The sequence below is a fragment of the Homo sapiens genome, chromosome X (assembly GCF_000001405.40).
Source record: "Homo sapiens chromosome X, GRCh38.p14 Primary Assembly".
NCBI classification, from domain to species: Eukaryota; Metazoa; Chordata; class Mammalia; order Primates; family Hominidae; genus Homo; species Homo sapiens.
In genome coordinates, this window is record NC_000023.11 from 80,746,641 (window position 1) to 80,769,698 (window position 23,058).

The 23,058-nt window shown below is 36.4% G+C and overlaps 1 protein-coding gene across 4 annotated transcripts in view; it reads right to left on the reverse strand.

The window, feature by feature from the left end:
- Positions 1-23,058, reverse strand: part of BRWD3 (bromodomain and WD repeat domain containing 3) — a 140,375-nt gene that overhangs the window by 77,138 nt on the left and 40,179 nt on the right. The gene's annotated exons all lie outside the window — the stretch shown is intronic.

A 23,058-nucleotide genomic window follows, 5' to 3' on the forward strand; every position in this document is an offset into this window, starting at 1 on the left:
CTTCAAAGGTCACCTTGAGGCAAAGTGACATTTTACCATACTGCATAAATAATATAGTACAAAATGAAAATAGCTTCATGTTCAAGCAGGGCAAGATTAAAGCAAGAACTGAGTTCTAGCTAGATTAGTATGATTAGAACCATGCCACAATCAAAAATATGAAATCTTTCAACATCTCACAATTTTAAGAGCAATGAAGTCTTTCTTTCAGGCAAAGGCAGATCCACTGGCCATTTTAACTGACAAAATGACAAAAAATGAATAATGAATAGCAAAATCAGTGACATGTTGAATATAAACAATTAGAACACATAAGAGACCTGAGTAGTTATGTAATACTGCAAGATGCTGAGTAAATAATGGGAGGAACTGCATAAGCATCAGTATCAGGCAAGAGGATTTCTTTTTGGCAGGTGTTCCCATCTCAACCACAAGAAAATCCCATGACTCCAAGATAGGAAGGACTGGTACCCTAATTTGGGACTTCAGAAATCTTCCTTCTCCAGTGAAACATTTCTTACTGCTCTGAGTTCCTTAAAACAATCAACCATTACTTCTGCTTGGCTTTTGTCTCTTCATACTTTGCAGGTAGATGCAGGGGAGAAAGGTTACTTTAAGGCAGGGCTTCTCAACCTTTAAACTATTGATATTCTCCGTTGAATGATTCTTTGCTGTGGGGACTTTCCATTGCAGGGTGTTTTGCAGCATCCCTCACCTGTCCCCACTACATGCTAGTAGGATCCCCCCCACACTAAGTCGTGACAAACAAAAATATCTCTAGATGTTGTCTAGGGTAAGAAACTGCCCCAGATTAAAATCACTGCTTGCAGTATAAAAGCAAAAAACATCATTACCAATAGAAGGGGAAAAAAAAAACAAAACAGAAAAGCAATTTTGAGAAGGGGAGCTGCAGGAGATAGAAAGCAAATCCATGAACATGGGATATCTTTCCATTTATTTGAATCTTCAATTTCTTTCATCAATGTTTTATAGTTTTCACTATACAGCTCTTTCACCTATACTTAAATTTACTCCAAAGTACTTTCTTAGATTCTATCGTAAATGGAATTGTTTCACTGAGTTCTTTGGATAGTTCATTGTTAGAGTATAGAAACAATGTAGATTGTCAAGTTCATTTTGTAATCTGCAACATTACTCAATTTGTATATCAGTTATAAGAGGGTTCTTTTGGTGGATTTTTAGGGTTTTCTACATATAAGATCATGTCATCAGAAAACAGAAAATTTCACTCCTTCTTTTACTATATGGATGCATTTTGTTTCTTTCATTTTCATTTGTTTCTTTCATTTTCTGGCCTAAATGCACTGGCTCAGACTTCCTGTGCTACATTGAATATAAGTGGCGAGAATGGGCATCTTTTTATTAGAGATGGAGTTTCAACATGTTAGTCACGCTGGTCTTGAACTCCTGACCTCAGATGATTCGCCCACCTCAGCCTCCCAAAGTGCTGGTGTTACAGGCATGAGCCACCATGCCCAGCCGAGATACATTCCTTCTATACCTCTTATGTTGAGATTTTATCATGAATACATGTTGAATTTTGTCAAATACTATTTCTGCATCTATTGAAATGATCACACAGGTTTGGTGATCTGCCCACCTCGGCCTCCCAAAGTGCTGGGATTACAGGCATGAGCCACTGCACCCAGCCTTTTGCATCTATTCTCAAAAGGGATATTGGCCTTTAGTTTCCCTGTATTAACACTGCCTGAATTTGGTATCAGGGTAATGCTCACCTCATAAAATGAATTTGAAAGTATTCTCTCCTCTTCAATTTTTTGGAAGAGTTTGAAAAACATTAGTGTAAGTTCTGCTTTAAATGTTTGGTAGAATTCAACAGAAAAGCCATTTGGTCCTAAGCTTTTATTTGATGGAAGACTTTTTATTACCGACTCAATCTCATTACTTGTTATTTGTCTGTTCAGTTTCCACTTTCATCTCTGATTCTGAGTCTTTTCTTTTGTTTTTTTTCCTAAGTCTACCTAAAAATTTGTCAATATTGTTTACCTTTTTAACAAACCAACTTTAAGATTTGTTAATCTTTTCTGCTGTTTTTCAAGTCTCTATCTTGTCTATTTCTGCTCCAATCTTCCTTATTCCTTCCTTCTGCTAAGGTTGGGCATACTTTGTTCATCTTTTTCTAGTTCCTTGAGGTTCAATGTTAATATTTTCTCTTTTTTAATGTTTATTGCTATAAACTTACCTCTCCGGGCTGTTTTTGCTGCATCCCATAAGTTTTGGTAGGTTGTGTTTCCATTTTCATTTGCCTCAGTTTCCCTTTTAATTTATTCTTTGACTCATGGTTTTTCAAAAGTATGTTGCTTAATTTGCATACATCTGTGAGCCTTCCAAGATTACTCCTGTTATTTTTAGTCTCATGCCATTGTAATTAGAAAAGATGCTTAATATTATTTCAATCTTCTTAAATTTGTTAAGACTTGCTTTGTGTCCTAAAATACGATCTATCCTGGAGAATACTCCACATGTACTTGAGCTGAAATGTTCTATAAATGTCTATTAGGACCAATTAGTCTGAAATGTGGTTTAAGTACAATGTTTCCTTATTGATTTTCTGTCTACATAATCTGTCCGATGTTGAAAGTGAGGTATTGATGTCTCCTATTATTGTATTGCAGTTGCAGTGTCTCTCTCTCTCTTCCTCCCTCCCTCCCTTCAGTTTTTATTATATATGCCTTGTATATTTAGGTGCTCCAATGTTGGGTGCATATATATTTACAACTGCCAAACTTCTTGATGAACTAACATCTCTATCATTACATATGACGTTTTTTGTCACTATTCACTTTTTAAATTCTCTTATATCTGATATAAAGAAAACTACTCCTGTTCTCTTTTGGATTCCATTTGTATGGAACATATTTTCCATCTCTCCATTTTCAGTCTATGGGTGTCCTTAGAGATGATGAGTCTCCTGTAGGCAGCATATTATTGGGTCATGGTTTTTCATCCATTCAGCAGCTCAATGTCAAAAATGTCCATTCTACCCAACAACATTTACAGATCTAATGCAATCTCTATGAAAATTTCAATGACATTTTTCACATAAATAGAAAAAAAATCCTAAAATTCAAGTGAAACCAGAAAAGACCCCAAACAGCTAAAACACTCTTATGCAAAAACAATGAAGCTAGAGGCATCATGCTCCCTGATTTTAAAATGTATGATAAAGCTTATTTAATAGAAACAGCATGATACTGACGTAGAAACAGACACATCAACCAAGGGAACAGGATATAAAGTCCAGAAATTCACCCAAGCATTTAAAATAAAACAATATTCAACATAGATTCCAAGAACACACAATGGGGAAAGGACAGTTTCTTCAATAAGTGGTGCTGGGAAACTGGATATCTACATGCAAAAGAATGAAATTGAACCCTATTCTCCTAACATGTACAAAAACCAACTCAAAATGAATCAAAGATTTAAACAGAAGATATCAAACAGTAAGGTTCCTAGAAGAAAACATAAGGGAAAAGCTTCAGAACATTGTTCTAGCCAATGATTTCTTGGGTAGGACTCCAAACACAGGCAACAAAATCACAAATAGACAAATGGGATAGTATCAAACTAAAAAGCTTCTGTACAGCAAAGGAAATGATTAGCAGACAGATGATACAACTCACAGATTGGGAGAAAATACCTGCATACCATCTATCTGATAAGGGGTTAATATCTAAAATATATAAGAAACTCAATAGCAAAAAAAAAATGTAATTAAAAATGGGCAAAAGGTCTGAACAAACATTTCTCAAAAGACGACATACAAATGGCCAATGGATATACGAAAAAATGCTCAACATCTCCAGTCATCAGGGACATGCAAATTAAAGGAACAATGATATATCACTTCACACCTGTTAGAATGGGTATTATAAAAAAGACAAATACTAATCTGTGTTGGTAAGGACATAGAGAAAAGGAAAAGTCTTGCATACTGTTGGCAGCAATGTAAATTGAAACATTTTGGAAAATAGTATGGAGGTTCCTCAAGAAATTGAAAATGGAAATACCATATGATCCAGTAATCCTACTTCTGGATATATATCCAAAGGGATTGAAATCAATGTCAAAGAGATGTCTGCACTCTCATGTTCGTTGCAGCATTAGTCACAATAGCCAAGATATGATTGCAATCTAAGTGTCCATCAGATGAATGAATCAATGTGTTTTATACACACACACACACACACACACACACACACACACACGCAAAAATCATTAAGTCTTATAAAGGAAAGAAATTGGAAATTATGCCATTCACAACAACTTGGATGAAATTAGAAGACATTATGCTAAGTGAAATAAGCCAAGCACAGAAAAACAAATACTGGTTGATATCATTTATGTAGAAGCTAAAAAAGTTGATTTCATAAAAACAGAGTAGAAAGGTAGTTACCACAGGATACAAGGAAAGGAGAGGGGTGAGGAAAGGGGAGATGCTGATCAAAGGGCACAAAGTTTCAGTTAGACTGGAGCAACAAGTTTTGAGATTTACTGTACTACATGGTGACCACAGTTAATAATAATAAAATGTGTATTTCAAAATTGCTAAAAGAATAGATTTGTAATGTTCTCACCACAAGAAAATGTTGGTGAGGTGATGGATATGCTAATTAGTTTGGTTTAATCTTTCTGTAATGTATACATAGATCAAAACATGACATTGTACGCCTTGAATATACAAAATTATTTGCCAATAAAAATGAATAAATGAATGAAACAAACAAAAAGAGAAGGACAGCAAGAGCCAGAGAAAGAGAGGGGAAAATAAATAACTACCAGAAAGAAAATCCACTCATTCATCTAACAAATATTTGAGTTCCTTAATGGCCAAAGAAACACAGCTAAGTACATAAGCAAAATACATTTTTTTAAAACTATTTTGTTACTCATACAAATTCATGGGCTATGTGTGCAATTTTGTTACATGCAAAGATTGCATAGTGGTCAAGGCAGGGTTTTCAGGGCATACAACACCCAAATATGATACACTGTACTCATTAAGTAATTTCTCAACATCCATTCCCCTCCCACAGCCTCACCCTTCTGAGTCTCCACTGTCTACCATTCCACTCTCTACATCCAGATGTCCACATTTTGTAGCACCCACTTATGAGTTCATGAGAAAATGTGATATTTGACTTTCTGTACCTGGCTTGTTTTACTTAAGATAATGACCTCCAGTTCCATCCGTATTGCTGCAAATAACATGACTTCATTTTTTTTATGGCTGAATAGTACTTGATTATGTATATATAGCACATTTTCCTTTATTTTTTCAATTTATTCATATTTCATTATTATTATTATTATTATTATTATTATTATTATTATTATTATTATTTTAAACACGATCTTGCTTTGTCGCCCAGGCTGGAATGCAGTGGCACTATCACAGCTCACTGCAGCCAAGACCTCCTGGGCTCAACTGATCCTCCCACCTCAGCCTCCTGAGTTGCTGGGACCACAGGTGTGTGCCACCATGCCCAGCTAATCTTTTGCTGTTGTTTTAGAGATGGGGTCTCTCTATGTTGCCCAGGCTGGTCTTGAATTCCTGGGCTCAAGTGATCCTTTCACGTTGGCCTTCCAAAGCATTTTCTTTATCCATTCATCCACTGATGGACACTTAAGTTGATTTCATATCTTTGCTATTGTGAATAGTGCCATTATAAACATACTAGTGCAAGTATCTTTTTGATATAATGATTTATTTTCCTCTGGGGTATATACCCAGTAATGGGTTTGCTGGATTGAATGGACATTCTATTTTTAGTTCTTTGAGAAATCTCCATACTATTTACCACAGAGGCTGTACTTATTTATAATCCTACCAACAGTGTGTTAAGAGTTCTTTTCTGCACAGCCTCACCAAAATGTTTTTTTAAAATATATATTTTTATTAATAGCCAATCTGACAGAGGTAAGATATTTCATTGTGGTTTTAATTTAAATTTCTGTGATAATTAGTGATGTTGAGCATTTTTTCTTTTTCTTTCTTTCTTGAGATGAAGTCTTGCTCTGTCACCCAGGCTGAAGTGCAGTGGCACCATATCAGCTCACTGCAACCTCCACCTCCCAGGTTCAGGCTCCTGCCTTAGCCTCCTGAGTAGCTGGGATTACAGGTGCCCGCCACCACACCCAGCTAATTTTTGTATTTTTAGTAGAGACAGGGTTTTGTCATATTGGCCAGGCTGGTCTCAAACTCCTGACCTCAGGTGATCCACCAGCCTCAGCCTCCCAAAGTGCTGGGACTATAGGCGTGAACCACCACGCCTGGCCGATCATTTTTTTGTATACCTGTTGGCCATTTGCACGTCTTCTTTTGAAAAATACCTATTTATGTCTTTAACCACTTGTTAATGGGATTGTTTCTGAGTTTTGTTGTTGAGTTGAGTTCCTTGTATATTTTGGTTATTAGTCCCCTATCAGATGGATAATTTGCAATTATTTTCTCCAATTCTACACATTCTACAGATTGTCTCTTCACTCTGCTGGTGCTTCTTTTGTTGTGCATAAGCTTTTTAGTACTTTAGGACTTCAGTAAGTCCCATTTGTCTATTTTTGTTATTGTTGCCTGTGCTTTTCAGTTTTTTTTTTTTTTTTTAGATGGAGTTTCACTCGTCACCCAGGCTGGAGTGCAGTGGTGTGATCTCGGCTCACTGCAACCTCTACCTCCCAGGTTCAAGCAATCCTCCTGCCTCAGCCTCCTGAGTAGCTGGGATTACAGGCGGCTGCCACCACGTCTAGCTAATTTTTTGTATTTTAAGTAGAGACAGGCTTTTGCCATGTTGGGCAGGCTGGTCTTGAACTCCTGACCTCAGGTGATCTGCCCACCTCAACCTCCCAAAGTGCTGGGATAACAGACATGAGCCACCACACCCAGCCTTGAGGTCTTACTCATAAATTTTTTGCCTAGACCAATGTCCAAAAGAGTTTTTGCTGTTTTCCCCTATTATTTTTATAGTTGTGGGTATTACATTTAAGTTTTTAATTCATCTTGAGTTGATTTTTTATATGGTTAGAGATACGGGTCCAGTTTTATTCTGCTGCATATGAACATTCATTTATCCCAGCACTGTTTATAGTAGAGGGTGTCCTTTTCCCAATGCATGTTCTTGTCAGCTTTGTCAAAGATCAGTTGGCTATAAATATGTAGATTTATTTCTGGGTTTTCTATTCTGTTCCTTTGGTCTGTTTGTCTATTTTTATACCCGTACAATGCTGTTTTGGTTACTAGAACCTTGCAATGTAATTTACATCAGGTAACATGATGTCTCCAGCTTTGTTCTTTTTGCTCAGGACTACTGTGGCTATCTGCACTCTTTTTGGTTCCATATGAATTTTAGGATTATTTTTTATTTCTGTGAAAATGATATTGGTATTTTCATGGAGATTACACTGAATCTGTAGGTTGCTTTCAGCAGTATGATCATTTTAACAATATTGTTTTTTACAGTCCATGAGCACAGGCTATTTTTCTACTTGTTTGTGTCATCTACAATTTCCTAAGTGTTCTGTAGTTTTCTATGTAGAGATCTTTCACCTCCTTGGTTAAATATATTCCTAGATTTTGGGGGTTTTTTTGTAGCTATTATTGGCTTCTTGATTTTATCTTAGCTTGCTCACTTTTGGTGTACAGAAATGCTACTAATTTTTGTACTTTGATTTTGTAACCTGAAACTTTACTGAATTCATTTATCAAAAATCTAGGAGTCCTTTGGAGGAGTCTTTAGAATTTTCTAGGTATAAGACCATATCATCAGCAAACAGAGATAATTTGACTTCCTCTTTTCCAATTTGGATGCCTTTTATTTCTTCTCTCATCTGACCACTCTCGCTAGGATTTCCATTACTATGTTGAATAGGAGTGAAAGCAGGCACTCTCTTGTCTTGCTCCAGTTCTTAGAAGAAATGTTTTCAGCTTTCCCTCATTCAATATGACACTAGCTGTAGGTTTATCATACATGCCCTTTATTATTTTGAGATATGTTCCTTCTATGCCCAATTTGTTGAGGATTTTTACCAAAAAGGAATGCTGAAGCCGGGCATGGTGGCTCACGCCTATTATCCCAGCACTTTGAGAGGCTGAGGCAGGCAGATCACTTGAGGTCAGGAGTTTGAGACCAGCCTGGCCAACATGGTGAAACCCCATCTCTACTAAAATAACAAAAAATTAGCCAGATGTGGTGGTATGCACCTGTAATCCCAGCTACTCAGGAGGCTGAGGCCAGAGAATCTCTTGAACCCAGAAGGCGGAGGTTGCAGTAAGCCGAGATGGCGCCACTGGACTCCAGCCTGGGCAACAGAGCGAAACTCCGTCTCAAATTAAAAAAAAAAGGAATACTGAATTTTAAGAAATGCTTTTTCTGCCATCTACTGAGATGATTATGGTTTCTTCCTTGATTCTGTTTATGTGATGTATTTCATTTACAGATTTGTAAATGTTGAACCATCTTTGCATCTCTGGTATATTATCTTTTAGCTGTGCTGTTAGTTTACTTTTAAAAACCGCTTTACAAAAAAAAAGTAAAAATTGAAAAAAGTGAAAATATTTACAAGATGGAAAAATCTTAATATTTTAAAATACATATAAAACTAATGAGCTATAAGAACACCATCAACACCCAAAAGATGATTTGGTAAAAAAAAGTTAACAGATAAGGTGCAATATAGGAAATATAAATAATATGCTGACTCACAGAAAAGATACAACTATTTTGCCAGTTATCAAAGAAATTTAAATGAAAATGAGGCATAAATTTACACCTAATAAATTAGCATTTCTAAAAATTCAAAAACCTAATGTTAGCTATTACTACTTGAAACTGATATACACCTCTATTTCTAAAAGCACCATACAGTGAGATGATCCCTTAGGAAAATAACTTGGCAATATACTTGAAGAGCCATGAAAACATGCACATCTATTACTCCACCTCTGGGCATCTATCCTGGGGACATAACTGATTAGCAAAAAACAGTTACATATATAAAATATTTAAAGTAGTACTATTTATAAAGCCAGTGAATTAAAAACAACCTACAAGTCCAGTATCAAGGGAATGGTTACGTATTAAATTATGGAATATTTGATAGACTATTACATAGCAATCAATAATATAAAAAGCAATGTGAAAAAAATTAGGGGTTACACAGCAAAAATGTAAAATACAAAATTATGTGTACACTATCAACTATGTAAATTTATGCACAAATGTATGGATAAGGACCATAAAGAAACAAGAGAAATGAAGCCAACTGCTTTGTGTTAAAAGAATGAGGAAATTTTTAAAATTTCACTTAATACTTTTCAAAATACATTTTTATCTTAAACATACATTTTCTATTAGGTTCTTCCCAATAGTCACTAATACCTATTCAAGAAAAATCTAACATAAGGTATGACATATATCATTAAATGTTCCTTCTCCCAGTTCAGCGGTTTATTTATTTATTCATCTGGCACTGGAAATGATATCTATATATTTTTTCTCAGTGATTGTTAATATAAACAAGTCTTAGTCTCTATACATTAAGAAATAACGTCGGCTCATGCCTGTAATCCCAGCACTTTGGGAGGGTGAGGTGGGCAGATCACCTGAGGTCAGGAGTTCAAGACCAGCCTGATCAACATGGAGAAACCCCGTCTCTACTAAAAATACAAAAATTAGCTGGGCCTGGTGGTGCATGCCTGTAATCCCAGCTACTCTGGAGGCTGAGGCAGGAGAATTGCTTGAACCCGGGAGGTGGAGGTAGCAGTGAGCCGAGATCGCACCATTGTACGCCAGCCTGGGCAACAAGAGCGAAACTCTGTCTCAAAAAAAAAAAAAAAAAAAAAAAGAAACAATGTCAACACTCTCTTTTGCATGTATTCTCCATTTAGCCATTATTTTTTAGTACTGATTCTTGCTTTACTTACTACAGTAGCCTTTATTAGGAACATGTTCCCCAAATGTTAATGGTTGATAATTGATTATACAGATACAATTGAAAAGTGTTCACTTCTGACCAATTCATGAGTATTTTACTGGGAAGAACTGGATCTCATTCTTCTAGCATGAATATCACACACTTCCTTGGGGGGAGGAGAATGCTCCAAACCATTTTTCCTTTTCTCTAAAGTAACAGTTTAAAAAATGAACACACACATACACACTTGCACACATACACAAACATGCACAAGGCTATCACTGTGTTCTATCTAAATGTCTCTATCAAATGCCACTGAGTGAACTGGTTTCTTTTTACTTTTATTATAAGCATGATGCAAGTCTAGAGATGAGCAATTTAACTTCCCCTGTAAGTAGAATGAAGTATTAAATGTAAGAAACAACTACAAATAAATGATCAAAAAACCCCATACTCCTAGCCTGATGTATTCACTATAATGGCATCATTACATTCTCACTGTTAAACTTCAAAATCTATACTTCAAGGTTATGTAATAAGTTTTAGTATATATAATTAGTTACTTTGATTAGTAACTTAATTATTTCAAAAGCACCCTAAAAGTTAAGTAACATTATCCCAGGCTCTATTTACTAAAAAATTTAACTCCACTATGTCACAAAAGTAAAATGGCAATACACTTCTAAAAACTCATTAAAACAGGGCAATCAATCAACATAATTTTAGCCAGGAAAACAATGTGTGCTTCTTCACCCACTGTTGTTAAGAATTTGCAACTTATAAAAAACAATACTTATGACTCCTTTATATTTTGAAAGCTGAGATTACAGTCAGTTTCCAACCATCAACTAACTATAGTTTTTTCTTGAATGGTAACATAAACATGTAAATTGTCTTAAAATATTTGAAGAACTTTCCTTTTGAGAAAAACAATTCTTTAGCAATGTTGAATAATTCACTAGTAGATAAATTAGTCAAATATAGATTTGAATACAATGTATTTGAATACAAAATATTCTATTCAGAATCCATTGTCTCTTAGATATTTGTATTTAAAATTCCATACTATAAGCTTCTAAATTGTTCTCTAACAAAAGACAAAATGAACTAACTCAATGATAGACCGTACTTCTTAAATATTCAAATAATGACAGGATAATAGATTTACTGTATATATTTTACAAATTTATAAAGTCATAAGATCAATAAACAGCCATCAATGGACTTAGCTGCTTTCTTTAAAGCATAACATTGGTTTACCTCTTACTAGAAGCTAAAGCACTGTGATAGATCCTGGAGATACTGATTATAAACAAGTCAAATAGGCTGGGCGCGGTGGCTCACGCCTGTAATCCCAGCACTTTGGGAGGCCAAGGGAGTGGATCACCTGAGGTAGGGAGTTCGAGACCAGCCTGACCAACACGGTGAAACCCCGTCTCTACTAAAAATACAAAGTTAGCCAGGCGTGATGGCGCATGACTGTAATCCCAGTTACTCGGGAGGCTGAGGCAGGAGAATTGCTTGAACCTGGGAGGCGGAGGTTGTGGTGAGCCAAGATCGCGCCATTGCACTCCAGTCAGGGCAACAAGAGCGAAACTCCATCTCAAAAAAAATAAAAAATAAAAAATAAAAAAGTCAAACGAGGTCTCTGTCCTCGTGGAATTTACATTCTACTCTGCAAAGCTTGTATCACTTATCCAATTTCAGGAATGAGTAAAATACTTCACTGGGGAAAAAGTGATCTACAAAAATATATACAACTCTTAAAATGTTTTTCTAACAAGCTCTGCAGTGATGGTGATACTCTGCCAAGTTTGGGAGCCATCAATTCTAGTCCAAACTACCTCCTCACAAAATTATCCTTTCTATAACCTAAATGGCAGATGGCCATTCCGACCTCTGCCTAAACACTAGTAAAGATAAGGTTTTTCTTTTCCAGGAATGGCCAATTCATATGTACAGCTGCTCTAATTAGGGGAGACTCTACCTTTAATTGAACTTTATCTCTCTCTGTGTAATTTCCAGAGAGTTATCCAGGTTCTACCCTTGGGAACGACATTAAAAAAAGAATATAATATGGTGGTGCCTGTAGTCTCAGCTACTCAGAGGCTGAGGCAGAAGGATGTGCTATGATCTGTGTGGGAATAGCCACTGCACTCCATCCTGGGCAATATAGCGAGATCCCATCTTTAAAAAATAAACTAAAAAGAAAAAAGTCAATTCCCTTTATTACATGGTAATCCATGAAATAAAGATAGCTATCATTTGTACCTTAAGTTTTCTTTTGACATGTTAAGTCCTTCTACATTACTCACAGCTGTAATTTATAGATACTTCTCTTTCCTAATATCCCCTCAAGAAAAACACTCCTTCACCATAAATATTATTGTGGTTACTTTCTTCTGGGAGGTCTCTAGTTTATCAATGTCTGAGCCTTTTAAAATAGTAAGAGCACAATGTTCCAGTGGTCTTATCAGCACAGAGTACAGTGTATTATTTTCCTTCATCAGGAAACTACACTTCTACGAATGAAGGTTAAGATTGCAAAGACTACATTAGGTTTCTTAAAATGCTGCCTTATAGTATCTAGTGCTCAGAAGAAAGAGAAAATAAAGTTAATTTGACTATCTTCTGAAAGTGCACAAACACCTGTTGAATAAACCTGTCTAAAATTTTGTCTGGGGTTAAAGCTGAGTTCACCATCTATAGTTTCTAGAATCTATTCTTTTTTCCTTTTTGTATATATTTGCCTACTGGGCCATTTCTGTTTCTCCTGTCTACTCTGGTTTCACAAAGAATATCTTCCAGTGAAAATTATTTCAGTATAACAGGCTTTAATTAATTTGGGCCTCTTAAAGCAAGTAGGTACTAATCTACCTTGCATTTTCTTTTCTCTAACTATGCTTGCTCTACCCTTTGCAGTTTATTTATCAGTGTCCTTGATAGAGAAAATTAAAGCAAAATATTATTCTCTCCAGCTCTTACGTTTTAGCTATGAATGTGATACCATTATTCCCATAAAATAAAATCTATGGGTTCTTTCCCCATATGCTAATTAGAACTTTAATGGTCCTTTCGGGCATTTCTATATGGGTCAAACAATATGAAATGGCTAATAATTGTTTTCTACATACAAAAGCAGTGATTTCATATGGCTCAACATGATAGCTATAATTGGAGTGTGGAGGGGAAGGGCAGTGTCGAGCATTAGTTTGATCTGGGTATCCTGCTTTTTTACCTATTAGGAAATCATCATCCATACTGTCTAGTCTGTAGTATAATCCCATATAGATTTCTCACTCCTTTTAACCCCATCCAGTGTTTTTCACATTTCACAGCCACATTTTGGTCTATAGATTCCTAAATGCACTTAACATGCACTGCTAATCCTCACCTTCCAATTAAATCTATTTGTTTAAGACCAAGAATAGCCACTCTTACTATATATTAAACACTAATCCTGCATCAAGTTTCTATAACTCTTCATGTTAAAGCTTCTAGTTTACTTTGTTACTTCATACCTAATATTTGTAAGTATTCTGCTGAACCCTTAATGTTTTCTCTTGTGAATTACTGACCACCTCCTTCTTTGTGGATTTCTTTTCTATTACACCTGCTATCCATCATATTTTTTTAAACTGGGTATTTTACCATTGACCATAATAAACAGCAAAATAAACTTATCTGGGCTTAATTTTCTGTGTTTTCTCAACATCAATTATAAGTGCTAATGAACAGTAACAGGGATAAAGTTATCCCATAAAAGCCTCCAATTATATCACGAACATAGCAAAGAATTAATTAAAACTGAATACAATTCAAATAAAGGTTCTCCTGAAATTGGTCAATTTTTTCTACTAATATCTTTAAATGCTAATGAATTACCTTTAGAAATTAAGAACACTGAATGGACTTTGAAAAAAGGCACAGGAAAATGCCATTTGAAGTGTATGATAGTCTAATGTGCACTGGAATATTATTCACATATTTAAATTGCTTTGCTTCAAAATTATTATATGAAATATTGTAACCCAAATTAACAAAGTTCAAACCAGACTGTGGTTTTCTTCATATAGTCTTCAATAATAGATTTGCTTTCCTTACTCTGTGACATCTTGAATCTATTATAAAGATGTGATTCTTTTCTTACTTTCTTTCTTCATTGTCCTACCCATTAGCAATGCAACCCATTATTTTAGAAAAAAATTACCAGTAATCTGCTAAAATATTAGTATTAGAAAAAAAGTGTTTTGGCCAGTGTGATACAAGATGTACTAATTTACTATCCTGACTTAAAAGCTTAGTACCAGAGTGTGGTAATTCCTACCTATAATCTCAGCTACTAGGGAGGCTGAGGTGGGAGGATCCCTTGAGCCCAGGAGTTGAAAGTTGCAGTGAACTATGATCTTGTCAGTGAACTCCAGCTTGGGTGACAGAGTGAGACTCTATCTCTTAAAACCTATTGGTTAGCTTAGTATTAGACCCTCAATATTAACTGGTGATAAACCAAAGAAAAAAAAGACTCAATAACAAAGATGCTTAATAACAATGAATCCAAATCAAGAAATTATTACAGAGTGGTTATACTAACGATACTTTATTAGTGCATCAACCTATTCCTTCCTGTAACAGTTCAAGATCAGTTTGTTCTCCTAAATCCAGTCAATCATATTGTCATCAAGGTCAGTAATAAGAAATAAAAGGATCACTGCAAATGCATAGCTTCTGCATAAAATACCTCAAAGCACATTACCTTCTATTATCTTCATGCATGAAAAATAGATTATTAGACCAAAATAAAAAGACCCACAAGAAGCCTATGCTGAAACACACTGAAGCAATTATATGACAGGCAAAGAAGTCAAAAATTGTTAAATACTGAGGAAAGGCAAAAAGTGGTAATCAGGTGTAAAGCAACTGTCATTTTATACTAAACTTAAGGTTTAATATTTTACATATTTAATCAGAAAAAATTTGAATTAGCAGGCAAAGATGCCAAAAATTGTTAGGTACTGAGGAAAGACAAAAAGTGATAATCAGGTGTAAAGCAGTTATCATTTTATACTAAACTTAAGGTTTAATATTTTACATATTTAATTAGAATAAATTTGAATTAGATTTCTTAGGTATTTAAGAGTCTTCCTTGTCTATTTGTCAATCTGTCAAAAAACGGTTCCATACTGAGATAAAATCAGTATTTTTTATGAAATCTATACTCCACATCACATCATTTCTTATTGGGACACAGATATCAATAGCAGAATCCAAATTTAAAGTGCATTAGAAAGGCCCATTTTTGTAGAAATCATAAGCATTTGACTCAACCACATGAAGACACATTTGCCCACAGGTACAATTAGAAACAATATTTCTACTCATTTACTATATCCTAATGAAATTTTCATCAGAATTTACATTTAAAATGTAACTGAGCTTTGTGTCCTTTAATTCTCAAGATAAAAAAATGCAAGAGACAAAAAAATACAGCTGACTTTGGCAATAAAAAGATGCAAACCTCAAAGATACAAACCAACTTTATAGTTAAGATTGAGGGGATAATCACCATTTCTGAGGCTCTCGGAAGTAGTTTACAAGCAAACATGTTTTGCCTTTCTCTCTTTGAACTAGAATCTCTTACAGAATTGTGCTAAACCTTGAATGGACGTTAAAGATAAATTCTTAATGCAACTTCTCATTTTACATATAACAAAACTAAGGACCATGTTGATGAAGCAAGTTTTCCTAAGTCCTAAAAGCGATAAGTGACAGAGAAGGGGCACGAACTTGGGTCAAATGTTCTTTTTCATATGCCACAGCTGCTGCTGAGTGCTTCATGTTTAAATATATCAGCAATGTTTATCTCCCACCAAATAAAAGATATTAATGGATCTAAAGCGGTGAACTCCTCCTCATTTTTCTGGGTGCCAAGTGCCTACTTAATAGCAGGAGATAAACCAAAAGGGTATGTGTTGGGGGGGTGGGGAAAGGAGAGGGATAAAGGCCATAATACAAAGCAATTTTGTGGGAAAATCAAAAGGCCAGATGAATAGCTCAATTAAGCACTGGCAGAGTCGCCTCTGGCTTTACCAATTCTCCTTACCTTGGTAGAATGATGTACTAAAAAGGCAATACAGTATTGAAAAAAGAACAAGTGGCCAAAGCTTCTTCCTTATCTATAAAATCTACAAAACAGGTTATATTCCCTATCTAAGAATTAAATGAGGTGAATTTTGTAGAATGTCTAGCACAGTAGGCATTTATTCATTAAAGCTTAGTTCCTTTCCCCTTTCCTTTCCTCTCTGGGGTCTCAGTAGTCTCACATTTCAGAATGGGGTAGGTTAGGAATACCACGCAAAAGTTTGGTATTAGCCTGGCGACTCTAAGGAATAGTGATCGCTACTATAAAGAAAATAAAATAAATGCAAAAATTTTACCTATACTTTGCTGCCCAGAGTCTATGATATATTTTTTAAATCCCCTTTTAAATTAAAGTTAATATTTAATGATTTTTATATGCCAGGCACTATTCTAAGCACATTACATGTTTACCTTATTTAACCCTATGAAGTGAGTACTATTATTATCTCCTTTTTAAATATGTAGAAATTGAAGCATAGAAGGGTTAACTCACTTTCCTAAGATCCTTAGCTATTAAGTGGTAGTCAAGATTCAAACCCAGGCAATCTTGTTTCAAAGGCTGATCTCTTTGCTATGGCTGCTTTTATAGCAGCTTTTCTTAAAATGAGAGAAAAATGAAAAAAATCATCATATACCCCAATAGCTAACTATGTTTCAGTGACTACAACAGATTTCATCCCATATCTTAAATTCTAGCTCAAACCTACCTAGAACATAAATCTGCCAAAGCAACAAAAGTGGGATAGAATAGGCCCTAAGAAGATGTTTAAAAACTACTAGAAATAAGAGATTAGTTCCAGCAAGATCACAAGAAACAAGAGCAATACACAAAACTCAATTGCATTTCTATATACTAAAAATGAACATTTAGAAACCAAAATTAAAAACAAAATCTATTTACGATCACGCCAAAGAAAATGATAACTTAAATATACATTTAACAGAATATGCACAGTATCTCTATCCTGGAAATTACAAAATGGTGAAGAAAAAAAATCAAAGACCACAATAAATGGAGAGACATACTATACTATGTTCATGGATTGGAAAGTTTGACAGAGTAACATGTCAATTCTCCCCAAATGATTTACAGGTTTAACACAATTCCTTTCAAAAGGCTTTTGTAGACATCAAGGAGCTTATTCTAAAATTCACAGGGAAAGACCCTAGAATATAGAAAACAATCTTTACAAAACTAAAGTGAGAGGGAGTCTTCTTCCCAATGTTAAGGCTTACTACATAGCTACAGAAATCAAAACAGCATGCTATTGGTGAGGAGATAAACACACAAATCAATGGAACAGAATAAAGGGCCAAAAAAATTTGCATAAATTTTCTTAACTGATTTTTAACAAAGGTGCAGCTCAATTTCAGTGGAGGAAGAACAGCCTTTTCAACAAATGGTGCTGAAGCAATTTGACATACAGAAGTGAAAGAATAATGAACGTTGACCTAAACCTTACACCTTACAGAATTAAACTCAAAATTAATCATAGAATTAAATTAAGGCATTAAACTATCAAACGTTTAGAAAAAAAGACATGGGAGAAAATCTTCAGAATATGGGGCTAGGCAAAGAATTTTTTTTTTAGAGACGGAGTCTCGCTCTGTTGCCCAGGCTAGAGTGCAGTGGCGCAACCTTGGCTCACTGCAAGCTCCGCCACCTGGGTTCAAGTGATTCTCCTGCCTCTGCCTCCCCAGTAGCTGGGACTACAGGCACCTGCCACCACGCCTGGATAATTTTTTTTTTTTTTGTATTTTTAGTATAGACGGTGTTTCACCATGTTAGCCAGGATGGTCTCGATCTCCTGACCTCGTGATCTGCCTGCCTCGGCCTCCCAAAGTGCTGGGATTACAGGTGTGAGCCACCGCGCCCAGCCTTAGGCAAAGAATTCTTAAACTTGACAACAAAAGCAAGATCCATAAAAGGGAAAATTGGTAAACAGGGTGTCATCAAATTTTTTAAATTTCAGACTTTGAAAGCCCATGTGAAAAGAATGAAAAGACAGACTAGGAGAAAATATTTGCAGAGAATATATCTGACAAAAAACTGGTATCTAGAATACATGAAAAACTCTTAAAGTTCAACAATGAAATTAAAAATAATCTAATTAAAAATGGGCAAAAGGCATAGACACTTCACCAAAAAGGATATACATATGGTAAATAAGCATACAAAAAGATGTTCAACATTAGTAGCTGTGATAGCTAATTTTATATATCAATTTGGGCCATCAGCATACAATATATGGTGCTATTTTTCCCACAGCCAGGATTCAAGGGTCTAGGAATTAAGTGGTAAAAACAGAGTGACATCACCCACTATTACTTAGTTGCCCCACTAGCAAAATTTTTGCTTCCTTTTCCAATAACCTTCTGCTCTGCTGGCCTAGAGGTCTTAGTTCCAAAAGGAGGAATGCTTCCACCAGGAGACACAACAATAATTCTATTAAACTGAAAGTTAAGACTGTTGCCCAGCCAATCACTTAAAGCAAGTATCCAATGCCTCTGAGTCAACAGGCAAAGAAGGCAGTTACCATATTGATTGACACTGACTACTGAGAGGAAACAGGACTGCTACTCCACAATAGAGGTAAGAAAGAGAATGTCTGAAATACAAGAGCTCCTTTAGAGCATCTCATAGTATTACCATGCCCTGTGATTAAGGTCAATACAAGGCTGGTGATTAACAACAATACAATCCAGGCAGAACTACTAATGGCCCAGACATTTCAGGAATGAAGGTTTGGGTCACTTTACTTTACTTTACTATTCTGGGTAGTAAAAGAGGGTAGTTATACATACCAACTACAACCATGTGACCAGTTATAGAACTGAGTACTGTAAGTGTTATGAAATATTATTCCTCCTTATTTTGTAATGAGGTGTCTGTGTGTGTATAAAACAGTTTCTTTGCTTTCCTTTATCATGTAAAATAAGATGTACTAACTTATATTTAATGTTAACTAAATATTATGTAATAATATGAATTGATGTTAATTTTACCTCATTGTATTTATGTTACAAGCTACAGAGAAAAGTAAACACCACTCAAGGACTTTCTTTTCTCTCCTGGGGAAGAGGTCTAATGTATTTCAGTTGTATGCAAACAGATATATCATGGCAAGTGAAATTATGACCTTGCAATTATCTTTATTTGGAGGATTATTTATTTATTTAAGTATTAAATACTTATTCCTCCAAATACAGATAATTTAAGGAAATGTGTATAGATGCCAAGTTGACAAAGGGTGAATTTGTGATAGTTTTAATGTGTCAACTAGACTGGGTCACAGAATGCCCAAACATTTGGCTAACCATTATTCTGGGTGTTTGGATGTGATTAACATTTGAATTGGTAGACAGAGTAAAGCAGATTGCCCTCCCCAATGAATCCGGTGGGCTTTATTCAATACCTTGGAGGTCTGAATAGAACAAAAGGCAGGTTAAGGGAGGATTCCCTCTCTCTGTCTATTTTCAAGCTGAGACATCTCTCTCTTCTGCACCTGGACTGGAACTTACACCATCAGCTTTAATGATTCTCAGGCTTTTGGACTTGGACAGGATCTTATACCACCAGCTTTCCTGGGTCTTCAGCTTGCAGATGGAAGATCATAGGACTTCTCAGCCTCCATAATCACATAAACGACTTCCTTATAATAAATACATCTATCAATCCTACTGATTCTGTTTCTCTGACGTACCCTGACTATACAGGAGCCAGCAAGGAAATGCAAATCAAAACCACAATGAGATATTTCACTACATATGCACAAGAAAAGCTAAAATAAAAAACTTTGACAACACCAAATGCAGGCAAGGATGCAGAGAAACTAGATCACTAATGCATGGCTAGTGGGAACATCAAATGCTACAGCCACTCTTAAAACACAAAACATGTGGATTCTGTTCCAAGATGGCCAAATAGGAACAGCTCCGGTCTGCAGCTCCCAGCGTGATCGATGCAGAAGATGGGTGATTTCTGCATTTCCAACAGAGGTAGCTGGTTCATTTCTTTGGCACTGGTTGGACAGTGGGTGCAGCCCTCGGAGGGCGAGTGGAAGCAGGGTGGGGCACTGCCTCACGCCGGAAGTGCAAGGGGTCAGGGGATTTCCCTTTCCTAGCCAACGGAAGCCTTGAGAGACAGCACCTGGAAAACTGGGACATTCGCACCCAAATACTGTGCTTTCCCAACGGTCTTAGCAAATGGCACACTAGGAGATTATAGCCCGCACCTGTCTCTGCGAATCCCAAGCCCACCAAGCCTTGCTTACTGGTAGCTCAGCAGTCTGAGATCGACCTGCAAGGCAGTGGCCTGGCAGGGGGAGAGGCATCCACCATTGTTGAGGCTTAAGTAGGTAAACAAAGCCACAGGAAGCTTGAACTGGGCGGAGCCCACCTCAGCTCAGCAAGAAACTTCTGCACAGGTAAACCTCCCTGTCTGACAGCTCTGAAGAGAGCAGTGGTTCTCCCAGCACGGCGTTTGAGCACAAAGAACCGACAAACTGCCTCCTCAAGAGGTTCCCTGACCCCTGTGTAGCCTAACTGGGAGACACTTCCCATTAGGGGCCAACAACACCTCATACAGCCCGGTGCCCCTCTGGGACAAAGCTTCTAGAAGAAGTATCAGGCAGCAATATTTTGCTGTTCTGCAGCCTCCACTGGTGATACCCAGGCAAACAGGGTCTGGAGTGGACCTCCAGCAAACACCAACAGACCTGCAGCTGAGGACCTAACTGTTAGAAGGAAAACTAACAAACAACAAGGAATAGCATCAACATCAACAAAAAGGACATCCACACCAAAACCCCATCTGTAGGTCACCAACATCAAACATCAAAGGTAGATAAAACCACCAAGATTTGGAAAAACCAGAGCAGAAAAGCTGAAAATTCTAAAAACCAGAGAGAAAATTATAAAAACCAGAGAGCCTCTTCTCCTCCAAAGGATTGCAGCTCCTCGCCAGCAACAGAACAAAGCTGGATGAAGAATGACTTTGACAAGCTGACAGAAGTAGGCTTCAGAAGGTCAGTAATAACAAACTTCTCTGAGCTAAAGGAGGATGTTCGAACCCATTGCAAGGAAGCTAAAAACTTTGAAAAAAGATTAAACGAATGGCTAACTGGAATAAACAGTGTAGAGAAAAACTTAAATGACCTGATGGAGCTGAAAACCATGGCATGAGAACTACGTGACGCATGCAGAAGCTTCAATAGCCGATTCGATCAATTGGAAGGAAGGGTGGTTATCAGTGACTGAAGATCAAATTAATGAAATAAAGCGAAAAGTTTAGAGAAAAAAAGAGTAAAAAGAAATGAACAAAGACTCCAAGAAATATGGAACTATGTGAAAAGACCAAATCTACGTCTGATTAGTGTACCTGAAAGTGACAGGGAGAATGGAATCAAGTTGGAAAACACTCTTCAGGATATTTTCCAGGAGAACTTCCCCAACCTAGCAAGGCAGGAGAGCATTCAAATTCAGGAAATAGAGAGACCACCACAAAGATACTCCTTGAGAAAATCAACCCCAAGACACATAATTGTCAGATTCCCCAAGGTTGAAAGGAAGGAAAAAATGTTAAGGGCAGAGAGAGAGAAAGGTCGAGTTACCCACAAAGAGAAGCCCATCAGATTAACAGCGGATCTCTCAGCAAAAACTCTACAAGCCAGAAGAGATTGGGGGCCAATATTCAACATTCTTAAAGAAAAGAATTTTCAACCCAGAATTTCATATCCAGCCAAACTAAGCTTCATAAGTGAAGGAGAAATAAAATACTTTACAGACAAGCAAACGCTGAGAGATTTTGTCACCACCAGTCCTGCCTTACAAGAGCTCCTGAAGGAAGCACTAAACATGGAAAGAAACAACCGGTACCAGCCACTGCAAAAACATACCAAATTGTAAAGACCATCAATGCTAGGAAGAAACTGCATCAACTAAAGGGCAAAATAACCAGCTAACATCATAATGACAGGATCAAATTCACATATAACAATATTAACCTTAAATGTAAATGGGCTAAATGCCCTAATTGAAAGACACAGACTGGCAAATTGTATAAAGAGTCAAGACCAATCAGTGTGATGTATTCAGGAGACCCAACTCAGGTGCAGAGACACACATAGGCTCAAAATAAAGGGAAGGAGGAAGATCTACCAAGCAAATGGAAAGCAAAAAAAAGAAAAAAAAAAGCAGGGGTTGCAGTCCTAGTCTCTGATAAAACAGACTTTAAATCAACAAAGATCAAAAGAAACAAAGAAGGACATTACATAATGGTAAAGGGATCAATTCAGCAAGAAGATCTAACTATCCTAAATATATATGCACCCAATACAGGAGCACCCAGATTCATAAAGCAAGTCCTTAGAGACCTACAAAGAGACTTACACTCCCATGCAATAAGAATGGCAGACTTTAACACCCCACTGTCAACATTAGACAGATCAATGAGACAGAAGGTTAACAAGGATATCCAGGAACTGAACTCAGCTCTGCAACAAGCAGACCTAATAGACATCTACAGAACTCTCCACCCCAAATCAACAGAATATACATTCTTCTCAGCACCACAACACACCTATTCCAAAATTGACCACATAGTTGGAAGTAAAGCACTCCTCAGCAAATGTAAAAGAACACAAATTATAACAAACTGTCTCTCAGACCACAGTGCAATCAAACTACAACTCAGGATTAAGAAACTCACTCAAAACCACAAAACTACATGGAAACTGAACAACCTGCTGCTCAATGACTACTGGGTAAATAATGAAATGAAGGCAGAAAAAAAGATGATCTTTGAAACCAATGAGAACAAAGATACAATGTACCAGAATCTCTGGGACACATTTAAAGCAGTGTGTAGAGGGAAACTTACAGCACTAAATGCCCCTAACAGAAAGCAGGAAAGATCTAAAACTGACACCCTAACACCACAATTAAAAGAACTAGAGAAGCCAAGAG